Source organism: Homo sapiens, chromosome 9 (assembly GCF_000001405.40).
Source record: "Homo sapiens chromosome 9, GRCh38.p14 Primary Assembly".
Classification (NCBI taxonomy): Eukaryota; Metazoa; Chordata; class Mammalia; order Primates; family Hominidae; genus Homo; species Homo sapiens.
The window spans coordinates 97,399,634-97,416,028 of NC_000009.12; the positions used below are offsets into that span (position 1 = coordinate 97,399,634).

Below are 16,395 nucleotides of genomic sequence, written 5' to 3' on the forward strand. Positions count from 1 at the left end.
CTGGCACCCTCTGCCCTATAGCAAGCCCTCATCACCCAAGCCCCAAACCTAACTCTGCTCTGAATGATGTCCAGGGAGTGGAGAGCATTTTCCCAGGGTCTCAGAGCACAATGGGCACTGATGGATAAGCCATATCAACAGACACTTTCTGAGTATGTGGAACCCTTGGGGTCACTCACCCAAGCACCCCAATTAATACAGGAGGAAACGGAGGCTTTCTCTCCCATAGTCTCTGTCCGCACTAGCAGGGAGGGCTCATCCTACTTCCAGGTGCCCAGACCAATGGCCTGAGGACCCCGGCCCTGGCCTCTCAAGGCTGTGCTGGGGCCCTTAGGGAGCCCTATGTCTGCCCTGCTCATGCCCTGGGTTCCTGAGCATGTTGCCGATGCCACTGACTCATAACAGAGCTGCCTCCAACCTCTTTCTTCTTTCCCTCTGGGAGGAGGCTCAGCACTGGCCTAGGAAGCTGGAGCCCTCCCTTACCTTTTAGACTCTGTGCATTTTCTGTGGTCTAAGCCAGGCCCTGTCTCTTTCTGGAATTCGGTTTCCCAAATGCACAATGAGGGGATGGGTGTGAAACTGCCTCAGTGTGCTCAGTGAGGATGCAGCGTCAAGTTCCATCAATACAGGACGGGGTGTCAGGGTGGGGTGGCTCAGGTGCATATGGTGAAGAAGCCTCCCTAACTCGGGCAGATGCTGAGGGACACCACATATAACAGCCAGGCCTAGTGCCCATGGCCAGGCATGCTCAAGGGGCCCTGTGTCTGGACCAAGAAGAGAACATGCTGGTGAGTTCCTCCTTCACTGTGTCCACAAGTGCAGTACACAAGGGAGCCCCAGGCAAGGTTGGTCTCATGCAGCCAGCTCTGTGCCTCCCACACTTGCAGGGGCCTGGGTCACATGTTCACCACTGGAGCCAAGAAGTGGTGTCAGTCTCACTTAAGCACTAAGAGTGAGGGCAGGGAGGGGTAGTTTCTTAAGAAAAAAACTGAGGTGCTGTCTTCAATAGAAGATGAGTTGGATGTCAGAAAGATAAAAGCACCCGATCTCAGAATCATACATATAGACCCCATATCTACCTCTGCCACTAGGCACACGGGGATATATATGTCCCAGAGAAGGTAGGTGTCTTGTCCAAAGTCACACAATGAGCAATGGCAAAACTCATAATTTGGTTAACATTCACTATGGCTACATATACTAGAATCCCTAAAATAATAGTGACATGTATTAGTTAGGGTTCTCTAGAGGGACAGAACTAATAGGATAGATGTATACATAAAGGGGAGTTTATTAAGCATTAACTTACACAATCACAAGGTCCCACAATAGGCTGTCTGCAAGCTAAGAGTGAGGAGAGCCAGTCCAAATTCCAAAACTGAAGAACTAGGAATCTGATGTTTGAGGGCAGGAAGCATCCAGCATAGGAGAAAGATGCAGGCTGGGAGGCTAGGCCAGTCTCTCTTTTCACATTTTTCTGCCTGCTTTATATTCTAGCTGTGCTGGCAGCTGATTAGATGGTGCCCACCCAGATTAAGGGTGGGTCTGCCTTTCCCAGCCCACTGACTCAAATGTTAATCTCCTTTGGCAACACCCTCACAGACACACCCAGGATCAATACTTTACAGAGACAGGCCATCCATACTGACCTTGAACTGACCACCACAGAAGTTTATAAATCATGTGTTTCTGTTCGAGCATCTTGTATGTGCTTTCCATCCTCAATGCGGTCTCATGGTCCAATGTGGCTGCTGGAGCTCCAGCCTCGACCGGCCACCATTTTTGCATTTCAGAGAGCAGGCAAGGCAGGGCAAAGGGGGCCCTCTCAGCTGGGTCACTTCCATCTGAGCAGTCTCCCCAGAGTCCCACACCACACTGTGGTCACATCTAATTGGCTGGAACTTAGGTCATTCTTAGCTGCAAGAGAGGTTGGGAACTTTTTAGTCTTTTAGTTGGTGAATTGCTGTCCTGAATAAAACTGAGCATCTGCATGTAAGAATAAGAGGAGAATGAAAACCGTGGAAACTAACAGTGCTCTCTCTCTACAGTAAATGCCAAGATAGAGAGGAAGGGATGGGGTTGCTTTCAGATGAATTGGGCATTTGTTTACCTATCACAGCCTCTCTTTTCTCACTGTTTATTCATTCACAGAGAGAGAAAAAGCTTGGTTCCAAACCAGGATATATGAATGGGACCCCTGCTTTCAACTCCCTAGCAGAATGTCTAGAACCACTGTGTTGGCTTTCATCTGTTTGTACCTTGTAAGTAAATCTGAGAACATCCTTTCCTGTTTCATAAATGGGGCAGGGAGGGGCTGAGAGCTGTGAAGCTTTTAAGACAAGCAGCATGTCCCTAAAAAGCTGGGTCAAAATTGAATGTCTGTAAATTTTAAAAGTACAATGTATTCACCCCAAGGACACTTTGACCCTCATAATAAATATTACCAGTAAAATGAATCCACCCAAAATAAAACTTAGTCCATTCAGGCTGCTACAACAAAACACCATAAACGGGATGACATATCAATAACTGAAATTTATTCCTCACAGTTCTGGAAGCTGGGATGTCCTAGCTCAAAGTCCCAGAAGATTTGGTATCTGGTGAGGGCCAACCCCCTGGTTCACAGATAGCTGTCTTCTCACTGTGTCCTCAGATGGCAGAAGGCAGAAAGGGAGCTCTCTGTGGCTTGTTTTGTAAGGGCACTGATGCCATTCATGAGGGCTCTACCCTCACAACCTTATCACCTCCCAAAGGTCAAACCTCCAAATACCATCATACTGGGGGACAGGTTTCAAAACAGGAATCTGGGGGGACACAAACAGTCTATAGCAAAAACTGATAATGGTTAAAACTGCACGTGGTAAAATTTATCATTGACTGAAAATTGATGGAAGAAAAGTATATTTAACATTTTGATATGCATAATTTGACCAAGGAAAATTGACTTGGTAGGAATAATAATCCCTAAAGAAAGCTTACAATAGCAGAATCTACAGTCAGTAAATTATGATGTGGATCCCCAAAATATCAAGTCATTTACATAAAAAATTGATCTTGATAAAAATAACTTCAAGCCAGGCCTGGTGGCGCACATCTGTAATCCTAACACTTTAGGAGGCTGAGGTGGGAGGATTGCTTGAGGTCAGGGGTTTGAGACCAGCCTAAGCAACATAATAAGACCTTGTCTCTACAAAAAAAAAAAATAAACATTCTGTCCACTGTAGCATCCTAAATTTATAACAGTCTAGTTTGAATTAATACCAACTTAGCTTCAACAGCACACAAAAATTCTGCTCCTATACGGTTCATCCCCTCCTACCTTTATGTTGCTGTTATCACAATTAATATCTTTTTTTCCCTTGAGACAGGGTCTTGCCTGTTCACCCAGGCTGGAGTGCAGTGGTGTGATCATAGATCACTGCACCCTCAAACTCCTGGGCTCAAGCAATCCTCACACCTCAGCCTCCTGAGTAGCTGAGACTACAGGCATGTGCCACTATGCCTGGCTATTTTTTTTTAATTTAATTTTTTTTTTTTTTTTAGATATGGGGTCTCTCTACATTGCACAGGCTGATCTTGAATTCTTGGCTTCAAGTGGTCGCTCAACCTTGGCCTCCCAAAGGGCTGGGATTACAGGCATGAGCCACTGTGCCTGGCCATAAATTACACATTTTACATGTATGCCTGTTAAAAGATTTATAATTACTTTTCATGTATTTGTCTTTTGAACTGCATAGGAAATAGTTACAAACCAAAAATGCAACAATACTGTTTTTATATTAATCTATGCAGTTATCTTTACTAGAGATCTTTATTTCTTCATATGGCTTCAATTTGCTGTCCAGTGTCCTCTCATTTCAGCCCCCAAGGACTCCCATTAGCATTTCTTGTGAGAGCAGGTCTACTGGCAGTGAATGTTCTCAGATTTTATCTGTGAATGTCTTAATTTATCCTTCATTTTTGAAAGATAGTTTTGCCAGAGAGAGAATTCTTCCTTGAGTTTTTTCTTTCAGCACTTTTTCATTCCACTGCCTGCTGGTCTCCATGGTTTCTGATGAGAAAGCAGCTCTTAATCTTATTGAGGAGTCCTTGTGTGTGACTAATCATTTCTCTTTTTCTGTTTTCAAGATTCTCTTTGTCTCTGACTTTTGACACTTTGATTATAATATGTCTTGGGGTGAAGCTCTTTGAGTTTATCCTAGGAGTTTGTTGAGTTTATCCTTGGAGGTTTGTTGAGTTTCTCGGATCTGTAGATTCATTTCTTTCATCGAATTTGGGACATTTGCCAGTCATTATTTCGTCAGATGTTCTTTCTTTCCCAACTCTCTCTACTCTTTCTGAAACTCTCATATTGTAAATTTGATTCACTTGATGGTGTCCTACAGGGCCCTTAGCCTCTGTTCACTTTTACTTATTCTTTTGTCTTTGTGCTCCCCAGACTGGATAATTTCAATTGCCCCGTCTTCAAGTTCATAGACACTTTTTTCCACTTGCTCAAACCTGCTGTTGAATGCCTCTAGTTAATTTTTCATTTCAGTTATTACAGTTTTCACCTCCAGAATTTCAGTTTAGTTCTTTTTTATTTCTATTTATTAATTGATATTCTTTCTTTGTTCATATATAATTCTACTGATTCCTTTTAGTTCTTGGTTTATGGTTTTCCTTATCTCATTAAACATATTTAAGGCAGTTGACTTAATGCCATTGACTAATAATTCCAATGTCTGGTCTTTCTTAGAAAAGATTTCTGTAAACTTCTTTTTTTCTGTGAATGGACCATGTTTTCCTCTTTTTTTGTATGTTTTGTAATTGTTTGTTGAGAGCTAGAAATTTTAAATACCATGTTGCACTAACTGGATATCTAATTCTTCAATACCTCAGAGATTTCTTGTACTTTATGAGGACTGGGTCATCTATTTATGACTTTTTAAAACTATTTTTGCAAGATATATATTGTTGTTTGTGGTCACTAAAGTTTCTGTTCCATCATTTCTGTAATCAACCAGTGACCCGACAAAGATTTCCTTAAATGTCTGGTTCCCAAAAGACATGGGGGTGGGAGCACAAGTATTGTCTCTTTAAATCCCCAGGAAGCTGCTTCCTGGAGGTTCAGCTCATGGAGGTTGAAACAATGGCTGTCAGCCTCTGTGCTGGCCCCTGAAAAATCAAAAGCAGAAATCAGCACTCAGAACACAAAACCTAATATTTGAAGGACAAAGTCCTTATTGCTTACCCTAGCTCTAGCAAGTCACACCAGGAATGTGGGCCGCCACTCCTAAGGATGCACACATACACACACACACACACACACACACACACACACACACAGCTTTGTAAATAAAGCTCCCATAATTACCGTGATATTTACAAGTGAGCTTATAGTTCAACCTGTAGTGTACAAAGGAAGGAAAATACCATGTTAGTGCTGACACACCATATCACTCTCAGATTAAGAACCACATCGTTAGAGGAAATCTCCTGCACTGTCTTACTCCAGCCAGCAGCTTGCTAGCCCTCCTTAGCCAACTGCTAGCCCCCAGGTGCTATACTTTTCTAATTATAAATATAAAAATCCAGTCTTAAGGAAGTTGCTGCTGAGAGTGAGGAGTCCAGTTTTAAATGAAAAAGACTGTGTGAGGCGATGAGGGAGAATTGGGAGGAAGATGAAGAAGACTATCTCTTGTACCTATGGTAGGGGAAATACAATTTGGGGCTAAGTAAACTCCAGAAAGACCCCCAAAAAGAATGATTCTAACTTCCTCAACTGGTCTGAGCACTAGGGCAAGTGAGGTAATTTTATCTAGTAAAGATAAATTTGTGTATCCCTATGTCTACTGGTGTAAACAAGAATATCCTGCTCAGCTTCTCTCTGGGTGGAGTTGGCTGTTGGGGGATTTCGAGTAGCAGTATTATCTGACCTGGCACCCCCGTTTTATGACAAATATTTTGTAATCCCTTCATTTACTTTCCTAAAGTGAAATTCACAGATAAAAATAGCATTGGAAAATTCACTGTATAGTAAAACTGTGGGGAAAATTATTTGTGTTTATATATAAGGCAGAGGTCTGTCATCTACATAGATGACTGGCATGACATCCACATGTTGGTTGAGACAAGGGGAACTTCTCTGATATGGGGGAAGTACCACAAGCATCCCAGCCCCACCCACTCAATGCCAGGAGGTGCACCTGATCTTTTTGACAACCAAAAATAACCTCATAAAAGTACAAAACAACGTGCCCCAGGCTTGGGGGCAGGGGGCTTGGACTGGGGCAGAGCCCACTGTCTCAAGAGTGGTTGAGTATCTATGGGGAGTGGTTATTTCCCATAGATAACCACTGATGAATAGAAATTGACCAAACAGCCCCAAGAGAAGCCTCTTTCACTACTTTCTGTGTTCACTTTGCCACATAAGGGAATCCAAGGCTAGAACCAGAGCCAAAGGGCTCTGGAGTTCTATGCAACCTCCCAATTTAACGAAAGGTCAAGTCCTAAATGATCCAGGGCAAGCAACTAACGGGTAGTGATTCTTCCTGTATAGTACACTTCTAATCGGAGCCCACACTTCTCGAATACTGTCTGCTTCTTTCAGTGTCAGCTCACCTATACTGAGCACCTCCTCTGCACCCATGTAGTTTCTCCTCACTGCCTCCCCAATTCCTCACCACTAGCAGCTATTGCAGTATAATTCTTGTGCCATCTGGTTTATTGACTATTACAAAATCAGTCATATTGTGGTTGATTGCCTTGCTTAAAATATTAGTTACCTCACCTCCACACCCCACCCCACAGCGGGGGCCCTAAGCCAGCTAACTCTTAACGATATCCACATCCTTGGAATCATTCTTATTTTGGGGTCCTAAGACTGAGCTATATGAATGAACTACAAGTCAGGAGAGGGCAAAGGTGACCTCTTAGACAGCCAAGACCCTCCTCTGTTGGTTCTATGACCTTTCTCTACACAATATCCCTTTAAGCTTTCATTATCCCCTGTTTTCCAGTGTGCTGTGGCTGTGTGGCCTCTAAAGCTTTAGTGATCAGTCCCTTCTGGGGATTAGGCCCTTTCAGCTGACTCACCTTGGAGGGCTTTGTGGGCAGATTAGGGGGTTTTGCTTGATCAGCACATCCTTAGCTTTACCGGGGCCTGGATTTTAGCAGGGCTCCGGCAATCTCTGCCTTTTGTTTTTTGTTTTGTTTTGTTTTGTCTTTTCTCCTTACTCAGTTGAAACAAATGCAGTTGTCTAGAAATTCCTCTGCATTTGTTCATGAGGCAATTAAAGCTGATGGGAGAGGCAGTGATTATGGTGTTAATGATTAACCAAAAGTAGATCTGTCCAAAGATTCCTTTTGTCGTGGATCTATTTTTCCTGACCTTATGTAAGCAAAAAGTACTCATGTGGCTGGGTTCCATCTGTATACATAATTTCAAACATGCTGTAGTTTAGTTTCAAATAGGGGTATTGTTAAAATTATTTGCAATCAAATAACTCAGCAACCAAAGATGAATAAAATGTAAACTCTTTTCAAGTTGTTCACAAGGGAGATGAGATATAAAATCACTTGTTATGTTCTCTCTGCTATAAATATATTTAAGGAACAAAGCAGTCTAGAAGCTCAGCTAAAGGAACAATGATTGTCAGGTGGGGGATTCGAGGAAGGCTTCCTGAGAGAGGAACTACTCCAGACATTGAATAATGTTATTACCAAGTCCCCGCTGTTCATTTGATGGGTCATAAACTGATAGAAATGAAAGTTTTGTTTTTGGTTTTTGCTTTCTTTTAGGAGTCAATATAGAGAGGAAGGGAAGTGAGATGACAGCACCTAGAGGTCTATCAAGTTGTTGCTCTAAATTTTGCAAGTGACAAAGCTGCCTATGGTGGTTGTAAAGTCTGACAGGCTCTTAGAGAAAGGATGAGGAATGTATTGTTCTTGGGCTATATTGCTAAGACCAAAAGAACTATCAGATAAGAAAAAAAAAAATGAACTACAGACATGTTCCTGGACCATGCTTGCTGTCTCACCCTCATTCTAAATGGTGCTTGCTGATGAGAGATGAAAAAGAGGAAGGACAGAGATTCAACTCAACCAATAGTATTGGTCCTGCCTGCTTTGTACAGGCATTTTGGTGTTTGTATCCAATGTGACTCTCTCCAAATATATAGGCTCCTCAGGTGTGGACAAAATGCATGAAGGGCTTTGGATGGAGGTTTCACACTGGAAATATGTCCATCTTTCTCTGCCAAGGATAAGCTACCAACAAAGCTGTCTTCCTTCCCCATACTTGGGCCTTGATTTGCACTCCCTTCCCACGATAACCTCTCTCTTGTCTCTGGACAGGCACAATGACCTGCCAGCCTTCTGCTTAGTGGCCAGCTTTTACTAATTTCCCCTTCCATCTACCTTTCCTACCCTAAAAACCACATTAAGCAGAGTACCAAGGACCTCTCTACAGCCCTTGAGGATGGGAAATTATGCCTGCCTCTCTTAAAAGAGATCTAGATGCTCCTGGCCACTGCCCTTGTTGTCCAAAGATATGCTTGGGCATTTGCAGAGGAAGAATGCCTTCCATCTGAGTCCTGTTCATTTCAAAAACTCTGCTATTTGGCCCCAGGATATATGCTTTCCTCTAAGGAAATTTTTAACGTGGGTTCACAGTGGAGCTTTAAGGACTCTATATCCTCTCTGAAATCATACATCAAAATTTGCTTTCATCTATTCTGACTTCGCCACAAAAGGGTAAGAACCATTGTGCCTACGGAGTAACCAGTCTGTTCCATCTCTGATATCTCTTAATTCTCCTGAAATCCAATTATATCCAGGGTATGGGGGTGAATTCTTGAACTCCCTGGGTCTTGGACCACTTCACAAAGACAAACAAACAAAAAAAACAACGTTCTAATCTGCCCTTGCTCTGTCAGATACCCAGGCAATTCTGAGAACCTCCTGATGTCTTGGACAAAAATCTACCTGCAGAACAGACACTTTACCCAAGAACACATATGAAGGGCCAATAAACACATGAAGAGATGCTCAACATCATTAGTCCTGGGGAAATGCAAATTGACACCTCGGTGTGCTATCCCTATACATCCACTGGAATGGCTAAAATTAGAAAGACAGGCAATACCAAGTATTGGAGAAGATTTAGAGCAACTGGAAGTCTTACACATTACCAAGGAGAGAGTAAAAGTGGGAGTACAAAATGGCACAGCCACATTAGAAAACAGTTTGACGGTTTCTTAAAACGTTAAGCGTACACCTATCCCACAACCAGATGTTCTATACTTAAGTCTTTATGCCAAAAAACCACATCACCACACAAAGACCTGCATATGGCTGTTATTACAGCTTTATTTATAACAGCCCAAACTGGAAACAACACAAATGTGCATGAAATGTGAATGAATAAACAAATTGTGATAAAGCCATGCAATGGCTTACTATTCAGCACTAAAAAGGAACCGACTACCACTATGTGCAACAACATGGATGACTTTCAAAACCATCATGCTAAGTGATGAAGCCAGACACAAAAGATGACATCCTGCATGATTCCACTTATATGATATGCTAGAAAAGGCAAACCTATGATGACAAAAATCAGATCAGTAGCTGCTAGTGGATAAAGGTATGGGGAGAGAATTAACTGTAAAGGGGCACAGGAGAAGTTTTGGAATTATGAACTAATCCCATATGTTGATTGTGGTGGTAGGTACACAATTAAAGACGTTGGTCAAAACTCATCACACTGTACATTTAAATATGTATTATATGTCAACTATCAAAAAAGCTGGTTTAAAAAAAACTAGCTGCAGAGCTTCATTTTTCTTTACATATAGGGCAGTCTAAACATGGAACATCTTTGCAAGGATAAAGGATCTCAAACTTGGGTTCAACTCACATTATTTTATGATTTATTCTACATATTAGACTCTGAAATTTTTTTTTATTTCCTGCTACTACTAGCACTCTTTCCTTTGGCAGCTGCTTTTTACATCTTTCCCTTCTAAAATGTGGAGCCACAGGATGTTGTGAGTACTGCAGAGACCAAATTGGGGCTGGTTGTCTTTTAGGTCTGTCTTGGTCCATTCCTGCTGCTATAACAAAATATCTTAGACTGGATAATTTATAAATAATAGAAATTTTTTTCTTACAGTTCTGGAGGTTTGGAAGTCTAAGATCAAGGTGCCAGCAGATTTGGCATCCTGTGAGGACTTGCTCTCCTCTTCAAAGATGGCACCTTCTTGCTGAATCCTTACACAGTGGAAGGGGCAGAAGGCTCCCTTAAGCCCCTAAGGGCACTAATTCTATTCACAAGGACGAAGCCATCATGACTTCTCAAAGGTCCCACCTCTCAACACCGCAAGAATGGGGATTAGGTTTCAACATGAATTTTGTAGGGACACAAACATTCAGACCATAGCAAAGTCTATTAAAAATCCACTGCAATGTTTGGAGTAGACTGGAAGGGAAAGAACAGAAAGACATCTGAAATAGACTGAAATAGAGCAAAGGAGATGCAGAGAAATTCCAGAGAGAGACATTTAGGCAAACTTAGTCAGGGACCAGATCTAGGATATGAAAGAGAACAGTGTTCAAAGAAAAGCCCTGTTCAAAAACTCTGAACAATTCCCTACCGCCTTTGGGGAAACATCCAAGTGTCTGAGAGCTGGATATCAGGTTTTCCAGATTTACTTCCAATTTTTCTTTGTATTGCCTACTGCATCTTTTCACTGAATCAAAAGCTCTATAAGCACAGGCTTATCCATGAAAATTTGTTATTTAACAGCAGGTGTTCAATATATATTAGTTGATTGTCCATTCACCTTCTGACGGATGTTTGTATTCTTTCCATGTGGGGCTACGGCCAACACAACTGCCATGAGCACTCTTGTACAGGTTTTTGTGTGGACATCTGCTTTCATTTCTCCTGGGTAAATACCCAGGAGCAGAATTGCTGGGTTGCGTGGTAGGTTTGGTACATCCCTACAATACCATTCAGCAATAGAAAGACATGAACTATTGATACATGTAACAACATGGATGAACATAATTTGCTAAATAAAAGAAGCCAGGCAGCCCCCCAAAGGATAGTACATACGATTCCATACATAAAAGTTTTACATATAACTCTAGAAAAAGCAAAATAATCTATAGCAACAGAAAGCAGGTGAGCAGTTGAGGGGGCAAGTGACAGGGAGGGACAAGATATAAGAATTACAAAGGATCACAGTAAAACTTTTTTGGGTGATGGATATGTTCATGATTTTGATTGCAGTGATGGTCTCACAGTGATATATATATATCAAAACTTATCAAACTGTACATTTTAAACATTCAGTTTATTGTATGTCTTATACATGGCAGTCAAGCTGTAATAAAATACCGGTTGAATAAGCAGCAGGTTCTCAGTAAATGCATAATTTATCAAGCTGTACATTTTAAACGTTCAGTTTATTGTATGTCTTATACATGGCAGTCAAGCTGTAATAAAATACCGGTTGAATAAGCAGCAGGTTCTCAGTAAATGCATAATTTATCAAGCTGTACATTTTAAACGTTCAGTTTATTGTATGTCTTATACATGGCAGTCAAGCTGTAATAAAATACCGGTTGAATAAGCAGCAGGTTCTCAGTAAATGCATATCCAATGGTGCAGAGAAGTGTTCAATGTTGGCTGCAGGGATGCAAAGCAGGTGCCAATAAGTGTTGGTGGAATTAATGTGCAGAATAAATAAGTATTCACTTATTAGGTGTTCAATAACTTTAGAGTGAATGAATAAATTTGACAGATATTTATTGCTGATCGTGTGCTAGGCACTATCCTAGGCTCTGGGAATAGGTTAAGGAACCAAACAAAAATCCTTGTGCTCACAGAGCTTTAATTTTAGAAGGATAGCAGACAATAAAAGCATAAGTAAAATACATATAGTGTGCTAGATAGGTGCTAAGGAGAAATAAGGTTGAGAATGGGGATAGGGAAAGTCAAGGAAGGAGGTTGACATGTTAGAGACTGTGTCCACCGTCATTGAAAGGGTAATGCTTGAGAAAGGCCTGAAGGATATGGGCGGACAGAGTGTGTGTCTAGGGCAATAAAAAGTAACTGCTCCAGATGTTGAAGAAAATAATGTGCAGGAGTTGAACTGTTTGGAAGGAGGGTGAGCCCCATAGAAGGAGCCACCCTCGCCCCCTGCTGAGTCCCGGCTCGCTCGGCCCGCGCGTACCTGCGTTGTCCACCAGGAGGCGCTCCCGCACCCGCCCCGCAGGCGTCTTCCGCCGCCGGCCGGTGCGTGGGCACGCGCAGAAACCGCTAGGTGGCGACGGTTTCCCTTCCCACGCGCGGACGCCGGCGTGGGCCGACGCGGCCGGAGCGCCCGCGCGTGCGCAGAGCCGAGGCCAGGCTGCCCTCGAAGCGGGGCGGGGCGAAGCGGGGCGGGGCCGAGCAGGGCGGGGCGGGGGCTTGAGGTGATTCCCAAGCCGCGGGGCGGCTCCGGTGGTGCGGGGAAACCGAAAGTGGGCGGCGGCCGCGGCGGGGCCCCTGGCGGAGACGGCGGCAGGAGCTGGGCCCAGAGACGCGGGGACGGGCCGTGGGCCCCCGGAACGAGGTGAGTGCAGGTCCTGCGGGCTCCGGGCGCGACAGGTGCCGGGCGACGTCGGACGAGATTTCGGGCGGGCGCGGCGCACCTGGGTCACCGGTGGGACCGCGGCCAGGGCCGGGGGCTCCAACAGGCTCGGGGCCTTTTCCCTGCAGCCGCAGGGGATTGCCCCCGCCCCGACGCCTGGGAACCGGGCTGGGCGCCGGGGGAGTTGGAGTTCCAGAGCGTTGTGTTTTAAATCTCTGAAGGGACCCTGCTCCGGGCCGGGCGTTCACGCGGGAGTCGGACGGAGCCTCCTGCCGCCTCGGAAGCTCTGCGCCGTGGGGGAAATGCAGCAGCGGGGTGTGGACGCGGGCGGGAGATGCGGACCAGGAAGTGGTTCCCGCTACCGGCGCGACAGGCCGCAGCCGCCGCCCCCAGCGAGGGATGTCCGCGCTCCCCTATTTGAACCCAAGTATTTTACACCACGAACTTCTCTTGAAGGTCTCTATAATCTGGAGACGAGCCCCAGGCAGGCCGCTTAAGTAATGCAGGACACACATCCCCATTTCTCTCAAACGAGGAGCACCCAGTGGGTACAGAGCACCCAGCTGGGAGGGAAACATGGATCCGTGAGTAAGTTGTCTCTCAACTTTCAGTAGCATCCCCTCAGCAGGGTCAGACTCTCAGCTTCAGCTTGCTAGGAGGGAGCTTGGAGCCGGCATATCTTTCTGCTCCCATTCACTTGAGAGGTATATTTCCATTAATAGCTAAAGGTACCATTCTCAAATAATTTCTAAGAGCAGGGAAGGGAAACAACCACATTAGAACAAGTCCTGGCCCAGAAGAATTCTGATCACCGCCCATCCAAACCAAACCAAACCAAAAAACCACAGATCTAGTTCATTAACCCTCCTACCAACACCTCTCTGCTCTCCAATCGTGCCGGTGAAAAAAATGCAGAGAAATGTTCTCTCTAGAGAGATAGGCAACAGCTTAATAGCAGAAGTAAAACTTGGACCCAAATCCCTGTCTCGTCCTGGGCTGCCTTGATGTGTATGAATGTGTTGCATACTGCAAATAATGTGAACTTTGCAGACCTGGATTGAAATCTGGGCTTCTCATTTTACAAATTGTGTGATCTTGAACAAATTACATGCTTTCTCTTAGCCTGGTTTTCTATGTGTCAAATAGAGGTACCTGGCTTACTTTGCAAGGCTTTTCCAAGATAACCACTGTATATCCTTTGCCTCATAATAATTGCCAAGCAGTATTCACTCTCTTCCTCCCAACAAACGGTCCATGTTTTACATAATTGGATTTTAGTTTTTTGAGGGCAGGGACACAAAGATCTTTGTGTTTACTATATAATATAAATGGGCACATGGTGGATATTTTTGCATTTCCTCTCAGCTGACATTCATTGAGCATCAGTTACGTGCAAAGTACTGTTCTGGGTATAGGGAATTGCCCCTGGGGCCAGCTGGATTAGCACTCACATCTCCTGTGCCCCAATCCAGGGCCCTTTGGTGGCACACAGCCTCCGTCTTTGGTAGTTGCACGGTGAGACTGTGAGGCAGCAGTTGGCAGTGCCTTCAGATTTCAGTCTCTGTAGATTGAAAATGAAGTGTAATCCCCTGCTAATGCCCTTTTAAGTGTACAGGTTGAACATGGCTGAATGAACTATTGTATTGTGCATCAAGAGATTTTAAACTCCTTGCAGAACCCCTCTTTTAAGTTCTCTGTGCAATATAATCTAGCTGGATACTTAATGTGAATATAAAGAAAAAATATAATCCAACCCCGAGTGCCTAATTTGTGTTTGTCAAGTGCTGTTTTCAAGAATTGAGATTTGACATAGAGTGCTTTGCATCTGGACACTTTCACAGAAGTTCCTTGGTGAAATTTTATATTTACGTGAACTGTTGTTTCTTTGTGCCAAACCTGCTTTTTCCTCCCTCCACTCCCACCTCTGTACTTTTGAAAGCTTCATTCTTGTCATTATTTCCCTGTAAGCCAAATATGTTTACAGTTTTGTCTTTCAAACTAAAAGTAATTAATTTTGCAATTTTTAGTTGAAGACATGTATATATGCCAATCAGAACTTGATCAGTGCAAGCTACCCAGTGTGACTTCAAAGTAAGCTTGGCATTTTAGCCTGTGCAGCTTTGTCATGAGTAAGCAAACTCGGTTTTCATTACATATTTGGACCTTATTTCAGCCTTCAGTGAATCCAAGGAAAGTTGAGAATCATGGCTCTTGCCCACCTTTCTTATCTTCCTTGTGAAAAAAAGAGACCTGAAGTGACTTGTCACAGGTAATCAGTAGCGGAACTAGGATTAAGACACAAACTCCTTACTAAGCCACTTTATTATCTCAGGGTTTTTTCGTCTAGTATGTAGACTTATGGAAATCCCTTACTTACGTACATTCGTGGTATGCAGTTAAAATGCACGAATAATTTGGAACTTGAGATCACAAGAATAAAAAAGATAACTCCCTGAAAAAAACTCTTAAGGAAGTATACCATCATCTGAGGGTATTAATCATCTTTTTCCTTTAAAAACCGGTTGGTGAAGGAGTAATTGAAGTGGTAACAGACTATGATTAGAAAGAAAAGAGCATTTAAAAGTGTCGCAAGGTGAGAAATCATTTATTGGGTAAAGATCTTAGGAAAAAATTTTCCCTCTGAGGCTCAGTTTATTGATTTGTAAGATAAGGAGCTTGGGTTAGCCTAGACGATGCCTAAAATGTGTCAGCACAGACATTATGGGACTTTAAGTTCCCGCTGTTGCTAAAATAGTGTCTTCAAGGAGAAGGGCAGTTAGTTATTAGAAGTATATGCCCTAAAGAGATATCCAGATACTTCAAAATTGAACATCTAACTAAAAGAAGCTAAGAGAGATTACTTGGTGTTTTCAGTTTACCCTAATAATTCTTCTGATTTGTTTTAAGATTTAGTGCCACTCGACAACTTAAACTGATGACATGAAAAATGTAGTAAGGAAGATGAGCCAAATCATACAGTTGGAAATAGTTGAGCAAGAAGAAACTTAGAAAAGAGAAGGCATAGGATGGAAGCCAGACTAGCTCAGCTAAAGGCCTTTGACACCAGTAGTTAGAGGAAGCAGATAACATGCAAATGACTGAGCCAGGGAGGATCAATCAATGGTAGAAGGCGTTTATCTGGGATACACCAAAACCAGGTTCTTCAGAATAGGACTTCCTTGGGCCATTTTCAGGTATAGTAAAGAGAAAAGCTGTGAATTTACAAAATGCAGTTTTGAAGTAGAGTGAGAATTATTTTAGGCCACTTAAATTATTTAAATTTTGTTTCCCTAAAGATTGTCATCACTCCCCAACTCCCCACCCCACCTCATGTGCATTATTAGTGTCTTGGATAATTAAGATTAACTGGGTATAAGCGAAGAAAAAAAGGAAAGCACGAAAGCATAAAAAAGATAGTCTCAGCTACTCAGGAGGCTGAGGCGGGAGAATCACTTGAACCCGGCAGGCGGAGGTTGCAGTGAGCCAAGATTGCGCCACTGCACTCCAGTTGAAATTCCTATGATATACTTTCTTTTATGCTTCTAATGGATGATGTCTAAGATATTAAACTTTATTTTTATAGTTAGAACAAAGTATTCTTATATACCTTGAGAGTATAATTGCCATCTTCCGAAAGTTTCAAAAAAAAGTCATCATGAGCCACGTAACAAAACTCAGAGCATTTCCAAAGTGATATAGTTTAGAAAATAATGACGATTTTTTTTAAAGCTTACACTTTCTTTTTCGTTCACTGCCTGAAGTGATGTTGCTA

The 16,395-nt window shown here is 43.0% G+C and overlaps 1 protein-coding gene across 4 annotated transcripts in view, besides 7 other annotated features; it reads left to right on the forward strand.

Annotated features, from left to right (window-relative positions):
- Nucleotides 12,150-12,499: a silencer, noted in NCBI's record as "silent region_20099". NCBI's record gives its function as "represses an Ori minimal core promoter by ATAC-STARR-seq in GM12878 lymphoblastoid cells {active_cell/tissue: GM12878}" and the evidence as "EXISTENCE:reporter gene assay evidence [ECO:0000049][PMID:35858748]".
- Nucleotides 12,150-13,445: a biological region, named in NCBI's record as "H3K4me1 hESC enhancers GRCh37_chr9:100174359-100174860 and GRCh37_chr9:100174861-100175360".
- Nucleotides 12,444-12,945: an enhancer, noted in NCBI's record as "H3K4me1 hESC enhancer chr9:100174359-100174860 (GRCh37/hg19 assembly coordinates)". NCBI's record gives its function as "activates a minimal SCP1, AML or CMV promoter by ChIP-STARR-seq in primed H9 embryonic stem cells {active_cell/tissue: H9 hESC(primed)}" and the evidence as "EXISTENCE:reporter gene assay evidence [ECO:0000049][PMID:30033119]".
- TDRD7 (tudor domain containing 7) overlaps nt 12,463-16,395 on the forward strand; it is an 84,030-nt gene continuing 80,097 nt past the window's right edge. For 3 of the 4 annotated variants that reach the window (NM_014290.3, NM_001302884.2, XM_047423113.1), the window contains exon 1: nt 12,463-12,605. The gene's annotated coding sequence lies outside the window, so the exon portion shown is untranslated. Of the gene's footprint in view, nt 12,606-13,127; nt 13,212-16,395 lie in introns of those variants that run through there. The other variant, XM_047423111.1, reaches the window with a different exon arrangement.
- Nucleotides 12,520-12,729: a silencer, noted in NCBI's record as "silent region_20100". NCBI's record gives its function as "represses an Ori minimal core promoter by ATAC-STARR-seq in GM12878 lymphoblastoid cells {active_cell/tissue: GM12878}" and the evidence as "EXISTENCE:reporter gene assay evidence [ECO:0000049][PMID:35858748]".
- Nucleotides 12,814-13,108: a silencer, noted in NCBI's record as "tiled region #2004; HepG2 Repressive DNase matched - State 1:Tss". NCBI's record gives its function as "represses a minimal TATA promoter and a strong SV40 promoter by Sharpr-MPRA in HepG2 cells {active_cell/tissue: HepG2}" and the evidence as "EXISTENCE:reporter gene assay evidence [ECO:0000049][PMID:27701403]".
- Nucleotides 12,946-13,445: an enhancer, noted in NCBI's record as "H3K4me1 hESC enhancer chr9:100174861-100175360 (GRCh37/hg19 assembly coordinates)". NCBI's record gives its function as "activates a minimal SCP1, AML or CMV promoter by ChIP-STARR-seq in primed H9 embryonic stem cells {active_cell/tissue: H9 hESC(primed)}" and the evidence as "EXISTENCE:reporter gene assay evidence [ECO:0000049][PMID:30033119]".
- Nucleotides 13,050-13,309: an enhancer, noted in NCBI's record as "active region_28662". NCBI's record gives its function as "activates an Ori minimal core promoter by ATAC-STARR-seq in GM12878 lymphoblastoid cells {active_cell/tissue: GM12878}" and the evidence as "EXISTENCE:reporter gene assay evidence [ECO:0000049][PMID:35858748]".